Genomic DNA, 17,458 nt, shown 5'->3' with positions numbered 1-17,458 from the left:
CAACAGAAAGGAGAGGGCATGTTGAGTTGAGTAAGGTGAGTAAATAATTGATAACTAGAGATCTGAAATGCTGGCAGTGGGTATAACAGGGACTGAAACACAGGAAACTAAGAACTTTGGGTTGTTCCAAAATTGTGTAATTTGGAGCTACAGTTTTTATCTAGGGAATTGAGTTTCTTCTGTTTTTACTTGAATACCAAGGTAGGAGTATGAAAGAATGATCTACTGTGGTGGGAAGAATTCTCTTGCTTGTCCCTTAAGATGATTAGCATGTTAAGTTGATGTTGCCTGAATGCTGAAGCACAGTTATTTAGCATCTGGGACCTTGGAACAAGATAGGGAAAGCTTAGTCAACAGTTCATTCCTGAGCTACTGTTTTACGTGGATTCAGGGATTAAATCTCTGTTGAGTCCATCTTTGAGTAGAGAAATCAGTTGGGGAATTCTGAATGCCTAAATAGTTGGCATTGAGATTTCTTCTTTTTCTAGAGTGCCTTTTGGGTAGGTACAAAGATCCTGATGTTCTGCAGAAAGTTTCTTGGAATGTACTCATTTGTGAGGACTTTCTTCCTGATCATCTTAGTTGGTCTGTTGGGGTTTGTGATGACTCCCAATTGCTACTTCTGTGCTTTTTCTTCGCTCTCAACACATAAGACAAATGAGACAATAGAGGAAGTTGCCAGTGTTGTCAAGCATCTGAATTATTGTAAGATACACTCATTCTGAAGGGTCCAGAGGAAGTATAAAATGAATGGCATTATGGGCTGGCCATGGTGGTTTATGCATGTAATCACAGCACTTTGGGAGGCCGAGGCAGGGGGATAGCTTCAGCCCAAGAGTTTGAGACTAGCCTGGGCAACATAGTGAGGCCCTGTCTATGCAAAATGAATGAATGAATGAGGCATTGTGGTCACTATTCCTAGATTTCATTGACTGTGCCTTTACTTTTCAGTAAATAATACGTAGACTTTCCTGACCTAAGCTTTATGATGATCTTAGGTTGTGATATGGGGGTAGGAGGAGGTTAACTCTCTCTATAGCCACTGCTTTCCTTAAAATCATTGCTTTTTATTTAAGTGTCTTAACATGGCATTTTAAAAAGCAACCTTGGCCAAGCGTGGTGGCTCATGCCTGTAATCCTGACACTTCGGGTGGCTGAGGTGGGAGGATTGCTTGAGCCCAGGAGTTGGAGAGGAGACCAGCCAAAACAAAACAAAACAAAACAAACAAACAAACAAACAAAAGCAACGCTTTACACTCCAGTCATTGAGAGCATCAAAAATTATTTTCCAACCACTGCCATGTCAAATGTAATTTAAGAAAGCACCCTTCTTCCCTGAAGAAAATGCAATTTGGTTTACTTTATTCCATCTCTGATTAGTGGCATTGTTTTTGTTTACAGTTAGAAAATAAAATGTGTTTAGGGTACAATGTAATGGCAAATTGTCTGTAAGAGATTAGTTTTCTTTCTCTTTTTGATTAGTTGAAAAGGTCATTGTAATAGCATGTTCAAGCTAGTCATCTTTGCGTATTTCATTTATTTCCTCACAAAATATTTATTACAAATATAGTAGCACGTGGCAAAGCCGTTTCTCTTTTTCGAAGACATGTGAACATGTATCTGAATAAGATACTCAAGATTTCATCTTGATGTGTGATCTTGAGCAAGCGGTTTCTTTTATCTAAATGTCTTCATCTGAATATGGATAATCCCTTGGACTCCTCCCCTTCTTCTTCAGGGACTCTGAAGAAAATAATTTAGGCTTCATCAGATTCTTTAAATTATTAGAAAAATAATCAGAAAGAACCAAAGGGCAGTTTTCCTTTAGCCTAAAGATATTTGCAATTTAATATCATCTTTTGGAAAAAATTTACAATAAAAGATATGTGCTTTGTCATTTATTTATTTATGCAGTGGCTTTATGGGCCCTGTCTTTGTTCCTTAAAGGTAAATGCCATTGTTTTAAAATTTCTTTTTCTTTTAAAGACTGTGTGTATATCGAGAGTCGGAGGCCAAACACACCGTATTTCATCTGTAGCATTCAAGACTTCAAACTGGTAAGCGTTTTTAATGTGCTGTTCACTCTGCTCTGTATTCTCTCTTTTTCCAGTTCCATTGGCTATCTCTTATTGTTCCTCCATCGCTGTTGACGTGGTTACCAGTTCACCTTTTGAGTGCTAACTGCCTCGTGGCAGTAGCACTGAAATGAGGGTTACTAGTTCCATCTTTTCAGCTTTGTAACACTTACTCTCATAATGCTTATATTGTAAACAATATTTCTGAAGTTTTTATCCCTTTAGTAACTTTTGACAATTTCAGATAGTCCCTTGAATTTCTGAAGTAGCTTGTTTCTTCTCAGCCATTGTTAAGAGCCTGAAGTAAAGTAAATTCAGTAAATTGATGAGTAGGGGAAATAATATAAACGGGTCAGAGAATAGTTTCCAGTGGAAACCTGTCACTTCCTTCAATATTTCGGCAGGTGTGGAGTATATGATGTTGAAATTGTTGTGGGGGTTTCCCGGGGTAGCGGTTGAAAGAAGTCTGGCTTGGGCGTGGTAAAGTTGTTATACTTTCTTTCCAGTTTTAGTGCATGTGTTGCAGAAGTAAGGACATAGCTACTGTACTTTCTCATTAAAAATTCTTCCTGAATATATAAGTGTTGATGTTCCTCATTATGAAATCGCTTTTTTAGGGCCAGTGGTTCTCACACTTTAGGCTTTGGATCCCTGGATGTCTGCAGAGATTTGGCAGAGGTCTGCAAATAAACATGCTAAGCTTGATGTAAATAAATTGATCTCACACGTCTGGACAACGATTTTTCAGCCTGTTTTCAGTATGCTTTTATGATTTTTAAAAATTTCACTTATTTAAAAGCAATACACAGTTAAGAACCACTATTTGTCATTGTTGTTGTTTGAAACAGAGTCTTGCTCTGTCACCCAGGCTGGAGTGCAGTGGTGCAGTCTTGGCTCACCGCAGCCTCTGCCTCCCGGAAACAAGTGATTCTCCTGCCTCAGCCTCCCGAGTAGCTGGGATTACAGGTGCGTGCCAGTACAACCGGCTGATTTTTTTTGTATTTTTAGCAGAGAACAGGGTTTCACCATGTTGGCCAGGCTGGTCTCCAACTTCTGACCTCAAGTGATTTGCCTGCTTTGGCCTCCCAAAGTGCTGGGATTACAAACGTGAGCTACCATGCCAGCCGGGAACCACTGTTTGTTTGTTATTTTCCTCAAACAATTGGTATTTGAAATACTACTGAAGTAGTATCATTTGGGAATCTTTTGAAACATTTTGATCTTACAAGGGATCCTAGTACTTTGAAGATTGTGAACCACTGTCTGTGCTCTTAGGCCTAGAGAATTCGTAATTCCTTAGCTTTGTAGAGATGTGTATCACTATCTGTGAATGCTCTTATTTCCAACACCCTTTGTAATTTGACAATATTTGTGTTCTGACATATGTTGTATGTGATATTTCAGTCTAAAGAAATGTAGTTTGAAAAGATCTTTCTCTGCATCTCCTTTGTTTTTTATCATTTTTAATGGCCCAAGTACCAAAGTAGTATATTCAGTAAGAAAAAAAAAAAATCACATTTTATTTTTCTTTGTTAAAAAGTTATTGCTTAAGTTATTGCATGCTTACTGTTTTAAGATGAAGTCAAATGTGCTATTTACTTCTAAGATGGATCTATTCTTGATAAGCGGCTTTTAACTTTCCTGGTTGCATTGCAAGGTGGCCTTGCAGTTTAATCTTGTAAATCAAATGCTTTCTATCCAGTTTTTATGTCTATATGAATTTTTAAAAACCATTTTTAGAGGTCTTTGCTACTTATTATATCTTTCCTTCCAAAGTGTGTTTTTTTTTTTTTTTTTTTTTTTTTAAACAGATACAGCACTGACACCTGAAATACGGGTGTAGCCTTATTCCTGAAGAGTTTTGTTTTGGTAGTGGCTGCTGCTACTGCCCTTTTCCTGCCCATTGTCTTTTTGTGTGATTTTTACTAAACCAAACATCAGTGCACCGTGAAAAATATATAGCTGTGAAATAAAATTGTAAATATTTTTATTTTACCTATTAGATCTTGAGCCCCCTTTGTACAGTTTTTGCACATTAGCAGGTGCCTTCCTGTTTGAACAGCATCTCTTATGAAATGCTGATTACAATGTGATAGTTGCTGTTCTGGGCAGAGGTTCCTGCTGAGTTACGGTAATTGCTCAGGGTATTAACAGCAATAAAAGCTAAAGCTTCTGTTGTCAGTATTGGTCTAATACAACACATTAAAGCTGTCTACAAAAACAGTGTGGGAAGTAGGGTGCAGTATGTTTAGATACCTTTTTCTAAATCACACACTGCTGTTTCTCATGTTTTTGTTTGAGGTTCTGTATTCAGCACATCCTCATAGTTGTTGTGTAAGAACAACAGATGATGAAATATTTGCTCTGGGAATAAATATAGTTATTTCCACTTTCTTATTTTCTTACTTCTCTGTACTTATTAAAAGATAATCAGATGAGAATGATCAAGATTTTTTTCTCCTTCAGTTTACTGAAGCTATAAGGGTAAAAGATGAGCAGAAGGAAATAAGCTTTGTTTCTCTGCAAGATTTTAAGAAGAAGAAGAAATTGAATTTGATTTTGCTCCCAGCAAATAACATGACTAGTGGAGCAATGAAAGAAACAAAAACCCGATGGCTTTGAAATGTTGAGTAATTAGGTATTTTATCTTTTTAATAATCATAAAATAAAAAGTTGGTTTGGGGTTATAACTGAGAGATGTGTTTCATTGTTTATACTATAAATGAGAATCCCTTTGCCGTGGTGAAATTTTGTGTATAAAGGATGTTTGGGCACTGTAAAAGTAACTGGGTGAATGCCCGTTATGATACACATTAGTAGGTACGATTACGATGTTAAAGATAACAAAAGCTAATGAGGTGAGGCGTGGGGAGGAGGAGACATCTACCGCCAGTCACCGAGGCTAGAATAATGGCAGTTTATTGAACCAAGGGCCTTGGGTCACATTTCATGAAATAGCTCTTTATGAGATAAGGAGAAGGGTCTTTGTATTTTATGTGGGGACCTGGGTTGTCTTCTCTACTCTGCTGCTGCATTCCCTTAGAATCGAGTCTGTGGTATAGAACACAGCTGCCTCTATGTCCTGATCCCTGTCTGTTGTCCTGCCAGACTATTAAACAGCCTCCCCTTTCACTCTCAAAAATGTCTTGAGTGTGGATGATAGGTTGTGTGGTTATCTTGCCTATGGGGATAAGATCCATGGCTTCTGCTTTATTAATATTCAACCATCAAAACACATAGGGACACCACCGTCCTACACTGGTAGGTGTATTTCGAGCCCACACTTCCACAGGGTAGGTGGAGGCTATGATAGTATCAAGCAATTAAGTTCCTAACTGAGCTGAGGTTTTAAAGGTAGGAATTATGTATTCTATTAGGAAGCTTTCATTCTCTTAGGAAGTATTCATTTGATTGGGCTTATTTACAAATGGAGAGGTCTGATTTTGTTTGAATGCGCTGACCAAAGTATTTATGGAAGAAGTAGTCAAAAGCAGGAGCTCAGGCAAGCAGAAGAGGCAGGGTAGAATTAGGGACAGCACGTACTTAGAAGCAGGAGAAAGAAGTATTGTTGATTAAAAAGGTCGCTTCGCACTGTAGATTTCTGAACTAAATAGTAAAATAGCTGGCAAAGTCTTTATTTAGCTTTTTGAAGGACTAGTAATACGGAATGACAGTCTGTGATCCTTGTGGCCTGGCATGAAAAGATTAATTGAGCCAAATTTCATTTTTAGAATTTAGAGTTGAGAAACTGAGAGACTGAGGCAGTTAGTAGAGGGGAAAGGTGAATAGATAATTCAAGAATTACCCCTAATATATCTGTAAAAATTAAAAATAAAAGAATTACCTGAATGACAAGAGCAAGGTTAGGGCTGGCATAGGCAAGCTCACTTGCTAGGGTAGGAAACTGGGAAAAGCAGAGGACAGGCAAGCTGTGGGAAGAGCAGCAGACTGCCAAGGGAAGTGTGTGCACAGCCGTCTCTTCCTTGACTCTCCTGGGTCCCACTGCACTGATGTTCTTCCCACAGGATTCTTAGATTATCCTGTTCGCTCTGAGTAAAGAGCTCTCACCTGGCTAGCTTGAGTGGCTCTTCATGAATTGCAATGGAAAGAGCCTAGATTAATATCTCCAACCCTTCTGCTGCCCTCCCATAGCTTTTATAGGTCACCATGTGACTTACTTACTTTTAGGGTTTTGTTCTGAATGAGTCAATATCATTGAGGAGCATTATATCACAGAGTGCAAATAGAAATGTTTTGAGCTATAATCAGGGACTTCCACAGGCATTTACTGAATACCTGCTTTGTGTTCTTTATGGAACTCAGCACCTAAAGGGAGACTGAAGAAGTATAAAATATTGTTCATTCCCTCAGTGATCTTAGATTCTAAGTGGACAGACAACTTGTGGCATTATTGGATGTCAGTCTTCTTTGGAGAACATTCTGAATAGGATTGACAAGAAGGGCATTCACTTTAGTTCTAAAAGAAATGATTTGTTTGTTTACGAAAAACAATAAAATCATATTTTTATAGAAACCCAGGCATTAAGAAGTATAATACAAATAATTTGCCATCTGGAAGTAATCATGGAGTCCGAGAATGCTAACAAGGTCATGGAGACACTAATTTTCATTCAGTATAGCACTGAGGAGTTCCTTGTATAGTAAGTAGTTCCTTGTAGCAGTTACTACCTTTCTTTATTCACAGATAAGTAAGCAAACTCAGTCCTGTAATAGTCTCCATGGAAATTCAGTGTGGATTCTTGCATTGCTGTCATTCATACAGTAGAGGAAAACATGCTTTTGGTTTCCTAAAGTTACATAGGTGTTTCAGCTGTTACTTATACCAAATGAGTTTCTAGGTAGTATATGTAGCTATAAGTACTATTTTGGGTTAATGATATTGATTCATTTTGGTTCCTTAACTGTTTTATTAAAACTTGGAAAATTGTCCTTAAAGTTAAGCCAGATACAGAGATTCCTTAGAGTTGGGGGTGATAGTTAGGGATGTTAAAGTGTCTCAGGTGATGGTTAGCTGGGCTCGACATATTGTTACGGCTCCACATAGATGAGAATGCCGCTGTATCATTTGTGTCCCTAACAGCCTACTTTCTAAATGCTGGTTCTGAATGTGGAATAGCTAAGGATGCATACTACTAGTTACCTTGGAGAATGCACATTTCCATTATTGCTGTGAATGTGGGGGCCAAGTTATTTATCGTTTAATACCATATCCCTCTCGTTGTTTCATTGTCAAATGTGAGCAGTTGGAGGAAAAACACTTGGAATTTCTCTCTTATGCCTGGTCTGTACTCATAAGTTGTTTGCTACTCACTACCCTTTATTCATGCCTTCCCTGACAGTACAACAGCAGAAGGGCTGCAGAGAAATTAACTTCATCTTAGGTTCCACTTGCCATTGAGATTGCCCGCCCTCCACCAAATTTATTTTCTTAAAAATGGATTAAAAGTAACAAGAAGCTATTTCTCCTCCTTTGTAATAAAAACTTACTGAGGATGAGTAATTATGTCTTATTAGGACCATAGATGATGCTGGGAGATATCATCAGGTAGCGACTTAATTACACATACTCTTTGTGCACACATTCAAGTGTACACACAGTGACTTAATTATCAGACTTACGCATTATCGACTGCATTTCTTTAGTCCCAGCTTGGCTGTTACCACTTAGCACAGAAGGTGTAGTGTATGGACATTCACGGAATGGGCATTCGTTTAAAAGGAGGTAAATCTTGCATTAGAGCCCTTTTTTGGTTGGGGGGTGGGCAGGAAGGTGCACATAATTTGAACATGGCTAATTCAGAATTTAGGATCTGTTATTCTGGGATTGAGATGAGGGATGGTAGATTGCCCAGGTTCAGAGCGCGGACTTTGACATCAGGTTGTCTGAGTTCACATACTCCATCCATCAGTTGCCATCTTTCCTGACCTTAGGAAATACACTTAAGCCTCTTAACTTTCTTTAGTTACCTGTGAAGTTGGGATATAAAGTACCTACCTTGCCAAGTAGATTGTTTTTAGATTAAAAGGTCAGACTTACAAAGTGTCCAGTGCCCCATAGAATGACACTGATTGTGATGTTGATGTTTAGTTGGTACCTTAGGTTTATGCTTTTTATTCACTGATGTATATATTGTGTGCTTAGCACATTGGCTGGCTGTAATGTCCACAGTAAGTATTTATTGAATACTGAATGAAGTAACATTTAACTGGAATAAATTCACTGGATAAGTATTTTTAAAAAACTTTAGTAGTAGTTGTTTGATACAGTGCATACATCAACACAAATTAACATTCTCTTAAACAAGCCAAAGAAGTCTACTCAATTACCTTTGGTTAGCCTGCAGTGTGTAATGTATAGAAATAATAAAACTTTATTTCTTTTAAAATACTTGAAGAAAATTCAGTTTCTTGTTTTCTTCACGAATTTGAATGAATGTAGCCAAAGTCATAACATTTTTTAGGCATCATTATATTGTTTTGAGTTTTCCATATGACTGACTTTCAGCAAAGATAAATGAGGGCCTAGTATACGTGTGAACCTCCCAGAAAAGGCCATGTGTTATGAAAAATGCCTTACGCTATGATGATTTGTTCCTGTGTGACACATCAGTTGTTTCTGTTTTTGTTTTTGACAGTCCTTCAAGGTAGGCCTGCAAAATTGAGTATTTCTTTCTATAGCTCCTTCTTCTCTTTACTTTCTTGGCTTGTACCATATAAAAAGGTCAGTATCACCCAGTTACACCTTTGTGACTTGTTGTGTAGTGTTGGATAATGAAGTAAAAACTTTACATTAAAGTTCGTTATCAAGTATTTTCAGCTATTATATCCAAGGACCAAGTGGCCTTTTCACATACAAATTTGTGATTTCTAATTTTGTTTAATTCTTTAAGAGTTAAGAGGTAGGATGGAATTCTTTTTTTTTTTTTTGAGACAGAGTTTCACTCTTGTCACCCAGGCTGGAGTGCAATGGCACGATCTCAGCTCTTTCCAGCCTCCGCCTCTGGGTTCAAGCGATTCTCCTGCCTCAGCCTCCCAAGTAGCTGGAATTACAGACACCTGCCACCACCCCCGGCTATGTTTTTGTATTCTTAGTAGAGACGGGGTTTCACTACATTGGCCAGGCTGGTCTTGAACTCCTGACCTTGTGATCCGCCCGCCTCGGCCTCCCAAAGTGTTGGGATTACAGGCATGAACCACCGCATCAAGCAAGATGGAATTCTTTAGCCCTGAGTTTGGTGTACTGAGTCAGAGGAGGTTGTATATCTATACTCCCCTCCCGCCACAATTATGGAGTAATGGTGTTGAAAGTTTTTTGAACGACCACATCCTTTTTGCATGATACTGATGTCAACCTCTAGTGGACAGAGTGGTATTAACATAAGTGGAAATCAAAATGAGGCCTTGGGAATAAATAATCCCAGCATTTTGCTGGCCCCATTTTCTGAGCTTGCCAGCAATTTGTCTTCACTCGTGGCTGCCAGTCAGGGTTGGGCACTTGGGATTTTAAGTTTTAGTGTTTAACTACTACTGTGAGGTTGGGTAATTCATTTTCTTCTAATTTACTTGGGTCAAGGGACTCTAAGAAACTATTGAAAAAGTTTTGTTTAATTATATATATTTCCATAAAATATATTTCTGAAAATGTTATTTACTAAAATTGTTATCTATATGTGAAATTTTTTTCAATGCAGAAAACTCTAGGTATTCTAATTTTAAAGGAGCTTAAGAAAGGTTGAGACAATCTGATATTTGCAGCCATCTACTGTGCAAGAATATTGGTAAAGTCTTGTTCAAACTTAATTCTTTTCAATTGGAAATTTGTAATTTGTATGTATATATGGATGCTTGCATTAAGAACCAACTCAATAGTCCAAGAAAAACCTGTTAGAAGTACTAAAAAAAAATTAGGGAAACAGATACTGTCAAAGTTTTCTCATTTCGTATGTGAGAACAATGACTTGTTTTGAAAAAATGCCTCTTTAAAATATATAAAATGTTTTAATAATTACTTGAACTATTTGCATGTTTAAAATAATGCCAAAGTGTCTGGAAATGCTTTACCAGGTGTTTTTGATTTAAAACCCTTAATTTGAATGTAAGGATTTGAGTGGTTTGGGCAGTCATATTCCTAGTGGAAGAGATTATCCAGAAGTCCATTTTTATTTTGATGCTTCTGGCAAAAAATATTGAATATGCTGTACATTCAAGTGCACAATTGAATCTTTAATTTGGAGTTTGCAGTGTTGGTGATGGTGGGGAGAAGGTGTGTGGTGAGAAGGTTGTGGCTACTGACACTCTGTCAGCTATACTATCACTGAGGCCATGAGAATCAGAGACTGACTGCACAGAAATTTTAGTGTAGATCCCAGGATGTACTCTAGATGGTCATCTTTAGAAAAAGAAAAGAAAATGATCATGATAAAACATTCTGAACATTAGCTTATTTTCCTGGTATTTGTTTTGTTTTGTGTGTGTGTGTGTGTGTCTATGTGTAGGGAGCTTAAGAGACTTACAAAAATAGATAATGAAATATATTAAAATCTTTGTTTACAGAAAGTTGTTAATTGCTCTTTGCTTTTCAAAGGGAATTATGTGTAACAGGACACCCTAATAATGATCTAATATTAAAAGGTTGTTCATCTGTAATTTTTAGACAACCGTAAGACAGGTTCTTATATAAGTATTGGGATTTTATGGATTTTTTTTAGTTCATTCAAAACCACATGAAATTGGTTTAAAAATGTTATGTGCTGTCTAAAATATTTGAAAAGGAACATACTCAAACTGTTATCTGAGGTATACTGTGCTAGCTTTCAGAAGTTGCTCTATAGTCTTTTTTTTCCTGGTTTTTAAATGTTTTCAAAGTTAATTTTAAAAAGACACGTGATACATACTAAACTAGTTTTGCCTATAAAAATAAGTAATGTCTTTCTGGAACTTTATGCTCTGTGCCTATTCATTATACTCACCTTGTGGGCGTTTGGAGAAAATTATAACTCATGTGAATATTGTCTTTTTCCCTCTGTTTTGGGGCCTTTGTCTATTTACTTTGCCTTCAGCTTTATACAGTTAAACTTGAACTTTGAGAAAATGGCAGGGCCTTTCTTTGGCCACCCAAATGCCCTATTTCCTTATTAAGTACATGTCTTATGTCTCTAGCTTCTGTCATTAGAAACTCTTCTGAAAGCTCAGTTTGTCCACTTGTGATTCATTTTACGGTTGTATCTGACACCATTGCATTTCTGTTTTTATTATAAGCATAGCATGTTGCTGTTAACTGTGCTTTGGCACTATCTCACATCTTAACTTGGTTATTTTGAGGGGCACACACCATACTGCTTTATGATAGGACCTGGATTAAAGTGTGGAGCCAGAAGGGTCATACGTTTGTTCACACTGAAATAAGGTAACAGCTTTGATTAATGCAAAAAGGTTAACTTTAGTGGTAGAACAAATTATCTGAGGTTTCAGAGGTCATCTGCTAAAGAGTTTTTGCAGATACCGACTTGTGTGCTGCGTGCCCCTAATAACCAGGGCATGATGGGGCGTTGGGCACGTTAACTTAAAACTGTTTTCTTTTTTAGGTCCACAACTCCCAGGCCTGTTGCAGATCTCCAACTCCTGCTTTGTGTGACCCCCCAGCATGCTCTCTGCCGGTGGCATCACAGCCACCACAGCATCTTTCTGAAGCCGGGAGAGGGCCTGTAGGGGTAAGGAGAATCCCGTTTTTAAAAGCTATCAGTATTTTATATCCCATAGGGTATAAAATAGGAATATTACCTCCCTCCCCAGAGCCCCTTTTAAAATGTGCTGTATTATATGTGTTTTTAAAGGAGTAACAAGTACATGCACAGAGGAAGCAAAATACGGGACTTGCCTTACCCCTCTAGGACAGTTCCAGAAGTTAGCGGGGTTTGGTGGAAGGGTATTTTGGCACCAGCAGAGAGCATGCTGGGCTGCTGCAAGGAGCAGGAGCTGGCAATCAGCAGCGAGTATGGATGTTGGCAACTGAAATGGGGAAAAAAGGGGGTAAGTTTGAGCTCAAGTGTGGAATGTGCGTTTCCCCAGGCTCATTGGGACTCATGGCCCACCAATCTAAACTATTTTGGGTGTTGTCCTCTCGGGTGACATTTTGTAGGGTATTGCTCAGAAATAGCGAGGCTTTTCTCCAGTGCTAGATGCAGAATATGCCCTTCAAGAGGCTTGGGTCGGGCTGTAGCTATACTTCTTAACGGCTATCCCTTGGTTATTCCTCTGTTACTAGTGGTGGTCCTGAGGGATGTGTAAGAGGCAGCAGGATGAAGTATCTGTAGTGCTTTATCCCTTAAAACACAGGGACCCATGTGGGTGATCATAGGGGTTATTATCGTTTAGTACATCTCCCTTTTTTTAGGAAAGTTCACACTTGTCTTCCTTTTTTTTCCTGTAATGGTAGGACTTAATGGAGGATTTAATGGTAGTGTTTTCTGAAAGTCGAGTATTTATTATTCTGAATGACTAGTGGGTTAATATGAAAGAAGTGTAGTTGCAGTTACATTGACGTCAGTGTAAAGAAGTGACTGTGGTGCCCCAGTTCATACTGAATTAGCAAATAATACAAGAGGATAGCAAGCTCTCTCACACTTAGACACACACAATGCAAGATACTGTCAATATATGGTGAGTTGTTCAGCTGCAGTGTAGAATATTAATATCTTGGGTCGTAGAAAAGAAAGTGCTCCAGATGGGCTGTGGCACTTGGGGAAGTTCTGTGAGGGTGGGTAGGTTTTGAGGAGCTGGGTATGTTTTTCATACATCAATAAGAAGTGGATAGGCAGAGTGTAGGAGCCTTCCAGGTGTACATGGCAGCCTGTCCTTATAAGCAACGCAGGCAGTGAGGCTGACGAGTCTGGGAGTTGTGAGAAGATGACCCGCAGGACGTCACTGAAGAGCACAGGTTAGTGGATTTTGGGAGGCAGATGTGGAGATATAAATGGGGCTAGATTATAGAGGATCTTCAAAGTTAGCAAAGTTAAGATTTTGTGTAATAGGCAGTAGAGAGCCTGTGTAAGCTTTTTTACTCTAGGCAAGCCATCTTGCAGGCCACTGCTTAAGAAGATTGACTGTAGCAGTTTGCAGTGTGGAACGGGGAAAGATGGTGAAAATTCCAAGTAGAAGGCTAGGGCCGCCATTCATGGGTAAGATGAAGAGGACCAAGACAGTAGAGATGATATATTGATAATTGTAACCAAATCAGGAGTAATTGTTGCAACAGCATAACACGTTTACATATTTGCTGATGTAATTACTCAAGGGTCATACCAAAAAAAGGGATGGGGGTTTCACATTATGGAAACCTTGGAATTCTCTGTCTTACAGTGGAAGACAGAACCCAGTGTAGTATAGATAAAAGTCTAATTTTAATTCCCAGAGAAAGACTGACATCTTACGGGACAAATTAGTAGATTCCCAATGTGACTACCTACTTCTAAAGCTTCAGCCTTTAGCAATTACCAATATGTCTTATTTACCGATATGTCTTATTTCCACATATATCTAAAAAGTAGGTTTTACTTTCAGGCTGATATTTTCTTAATCAATGTGGATGCTATTATTAATACTTTTATTTACTGTAATACTCAACAGGAATTGCTGAATGGATTTTAAGTCTTCCCCATAATAACATTAATTTTTTTGTAAACTTTTTATATTAGAATTAATGATTAGTATTTATTTTTTAGCAATAAAAATATTTGTGTCTACTGATGATTTAAATAAGTTCATGACTGGTGGAGCACTTGGGTACATTATATGTAGGTGTAAGAGATTCTGTAGTGAAAGGATAAATCTTCTTTCAGTCAAGATGATGCTACATAAAGCTAACTGTATTGATTGTTCTTTAATGATGCTTTGTGCTGCCAAAGTCATTTGAGCTGGATCTGAATCAGATCCAGTTGGCAAAGCTTCCCCATATGTGGAGTTCTCATAAATCCTGCAAGGCACACAGATCTAATACAGTGTAATGAGAGAGCTGCTGGGAGAAAAAATTGATTACAGGGTTGCAGACAATATCATTAACATTTCTTGCCATGATACACCAGATGTCTTCCCTAATAGACTATTTTTGTTAATTTAGTTTTTATAGGATAGCATTGATTGCATCATAATTTAACTTTCTTTGCATATTCAGGTATATGTGATCTGTGTTTCTACACTAATGATGGAATAAACATCAGATTTAATTTTGTAAGTTTTAACTTATCTGTTCATTTTTCTATCTGCTGGAGAGGCAACATTTTTACTTGTACTGAGAATCTGTTAGCTTGGATGTTTTCTAGTAAAAAGTACTGTGTTCAGTGGTGGGGAGGGAGTAGTGAGGGAGGTAGGAAGGCAAAGATAACATTGCCCAGAACCTCCCTAAACTGGTCAGAAATGATTCTACCCGCCAGCTGATTTACATAGAAACCACGTGGCACCATGACAGAGGCTCTAGCCAAAGCAGGAAAGGTGCAACCTTTCAAGGGGACATACGTGCACATTTATCTCCATTGTCAAGGGTGTGGCTCTGCAGCAGAGGACTCATGTTGGCTGCACCCATCCTCTTCCTCACTAGAAGATCAAGGACTAGTGAGGATATTAGTTAGTTAGCATTTTAATTCTTTTAGCCATGTCTTTTTGTGTGTTTGACCTCTTTTGAGTGGTTAACACACATAGTAGGACAGTATTGTAGGGGTGGTTTGAACTGTTTTATTTGAGTAGTGTTTTTTTGTTGTTGTTGTTTTTGTTTTGAGACAGAGTCTCACCCTGTCATGCAGGCTGGAGTGCAGTGGCATGATCTCGGCTCACTGCAACCTCCACCTCTTGGGTTTAAGCGATTCTCCTGCCTCAGCCTCCTGAGTAGCTGGGGTTACAGGTGTGGGCTACCACACCTGGCTAGTTGTTGTACTTTTAGTAGACAGTGTTTTTTGCCTTATTGGCCAGGCTGGTCTTGAACTCCTGACCTCAAGTGATCCTCTCATCTTGGCTTCCCAAAGTGTTGGGATTACAGGTGTGAGCCACTGTACCTGGCTGTGTATGTTTTGTTGTTGTTGTTTTTTGAGACAGAGTCTTGCTCCGTCACCCAGGCTGGAGTGCAGTGGCATGATCTCAGCTCACTGCAACCTCCGCCTCCCGGGTTCAAGCAATTCTCCTGCCTCAGCTTCCCGAGTAGCTGGGACTACAGGTGCATTCCACCACACCTGGCAATTTTTTTTGTATTTTTAGTAGAGATGGGGTTTCACTGTGTTAGCCGGTATGATCTTGACTGCCTGACCTCATGATCCCCCCACCTAGGCCTCCCAAAGTGCTGGGATTACACATGTGAGCCACCGTGCCCGGTGTATGGTTTTTTTTTTTTTAAATCATTATTTTTGTTTTGCATTTTCCATTAGGGAACTTTTTTTCTTTTGACATGTTTCTTGGTAACATAGGATATGTTAATTAACCTTTCTAACTCTTAGTTTTCTCACTTGTAGTATGGGTATAATAATAATACTATCTATGACAAAGGGTTGTTGCAAAAATTAAATAAAATAATTCATTAAATTTCTTAGCACCATACTTAGCATATAGCAAGCATACAATAAGCATTGTCTATTATCCTGTAAGACTTGAATTATACAAATTCTGGTCATTCTTTTTTTATTTATTTGTTTTTTGAGATGGAGTCTTGCTCTGTCGCCCAGAGCAACGTCTGGAGTGCAATGGTGCGGTCTTGGCTCATTGCACCTCTGCCTCCCGGGTTCAAGCGATTCTCCTGCCTCAGCCTCTGGAGTAGCTGGGATTACAGGCGTCCACCACCATGCCTGGCTAAGTTTTGTATTTTTAGTAGAGATAGGGTTTCACTATGTTGGCCAGGCTGGTCTCGAACTGCTGACCTTGTGATCTGCCCGCCTCGGCCTCCCAAAGTGCTGGGATTACAGGCGTGAGCCACTGTGCCCGGCCCAAATTCTCGTCATTCTTAATCTGAAATCCATAAAGTCTCTTGAAAGTTTTAGAGGGTCTGTGAACATCCTGAAACTGCTGGCAAAATCTTCTATATATGTACATTTTTCTGGAAAGAGGATCTTTACTTTTTGACTATGGATGCTAATCAGTAGATTGCTTAGGTGTTGAAAATAATTTAAAAGTTAAGATTAAAAACAGCGAAGGTTCTGCTGTTTGTCATTTAAAACCTCAAATCAGCCCGGGCATGATGGCTCACGCCTGTAATCCCCAGCAGTTTGGGAGGCTGGGGCGGTTCGGTCACTTGAGCTCAGGAGTTCAAGACTGGCCTGGACAACATGGTGAAATCCCATCTCTGCGAAAAAATGAAAAATTATCTGGGTGTGGTGGCATGTGTCTGCAGTTGCAGCTACTCAGGAGGCTGAGGTGGGAGGCTCGATTGAACTCAGTCAAACCGGTGTTAATAGAGTTATTTTTGCTGAAGTAAGGCACTTACCATTAGTAAGTATCACTTCTAACATTAGTGCTTTCCATGCTTGATACCATAGTACCATTTAAGAATTAAAAAAGAAAATTTATTATAAAATGCTCTTTTGGAAATGCTGATTGTATTACGTTTGTTACCTACTTGTTGCTTAGAAAGAACTCCAATCTGGTTGCTTTTTTAGTGGTGCAGAAGTTTAGAGAGGCTATATTGCTTTTTCATTATTTACTGTGGCTTCCCTGCTTTGGCATACTCCCCATTAAGTATGCCAAAAATAACCATCGATAAAGATCATGAGAGATTGCTTTTTATATTTGATTTTAGTGAAAGATATTAAGATGGCTGGATTTTCAGAAGAATTGCTAATACAAATGTTGGGATTAATCCAGCTACCCTAAATGAAAGATGATTACTAGCTGTCGACTTATAATGTAACAAATTAAGAAAGTTCTGAAAGCACCCAGCTGACCTATAATGCCAAGGCTGACTGCTACTGGCATCAGAGAACCCGGCTGGGCCTGCTTTCAGCTCTGTTCCTTTCACCTGGAGCAGTTGTCCCCATAAAAGCTAATTGTCAGTTAATTTATTCCTTTTTTTTTTTTTTTGGGAGACAGGGTCTTGCTCTTTTGCCCAGGCTGGAGAGCAGTGGTGCAGTCTCAACTCACTGCAGCCTCCGCCTCCCGGGTTCAAGCAGTTCTCTTGCCTCAGCCTCCTGAGTAGCTGAGATTACAGGCGTGTGCCACCACACCTGGCTAATTTTTGTATTTTTAGTAGAGATAGGGTTTCACCATGTTGGCCAGGCTGATCTTGAACTCCTGACCTCAGGTGATCTCCTGCCTCGGCCTCCCAAAGTGCTGGGATTACAGGAATGAGCCACCATGCCTGGCCTAATTTTTGTATTTTTAGTAGAGACAGG

General features: G+C 38.9%; 1 protein-coding gene across 2 annotated transcripts in view; it reads left to right on the top strand.

The window, feature by feature from the left end:
• RERE (arginine-glutamic acid dipeptide repeats) overlaps window positions 1-17,458 on the top strand; it is a 465,237-nt gene that overhangs the window by 191,274 nt on the left and 256,505 nt on the right. For both annotated transcript variants that reach the window (NM_001042681.2, NM_012102.4), the window contains 2 exons: window positions 1,987-2,057; window positions 11,681-11,806. In NM_001042681.2, coding sequence (NP_001036146.1) covers window positions 1,987-2,057; window positions 11,681-11,806 — 197 coding nt within the window. The remainder of the gene's footprint in view (window positions 1-1,986; window positions 2,058-11,680; window positions 11,807-17,458) is intronic.

The sequence above is a fragment of the Homo sapiens genome, chromosome 1 (genome assembly GCF_000001405.40).
Source record: "Homo sapiens chromosome 1, GRCh38.p14 Primary Assembly".
Classification (NCBI taxonomy): domain Eukaryota; kingdom Metazoa; phylum Chordata; class Mammalia; order Primates; family Hominidae; genus Homo; species Homo sapiens.
The sequence above is the reverse complement of the archived record's forward strand: the minus strand, read 5'-3'. Positions and strand labels throughout refer to the sequence as shown.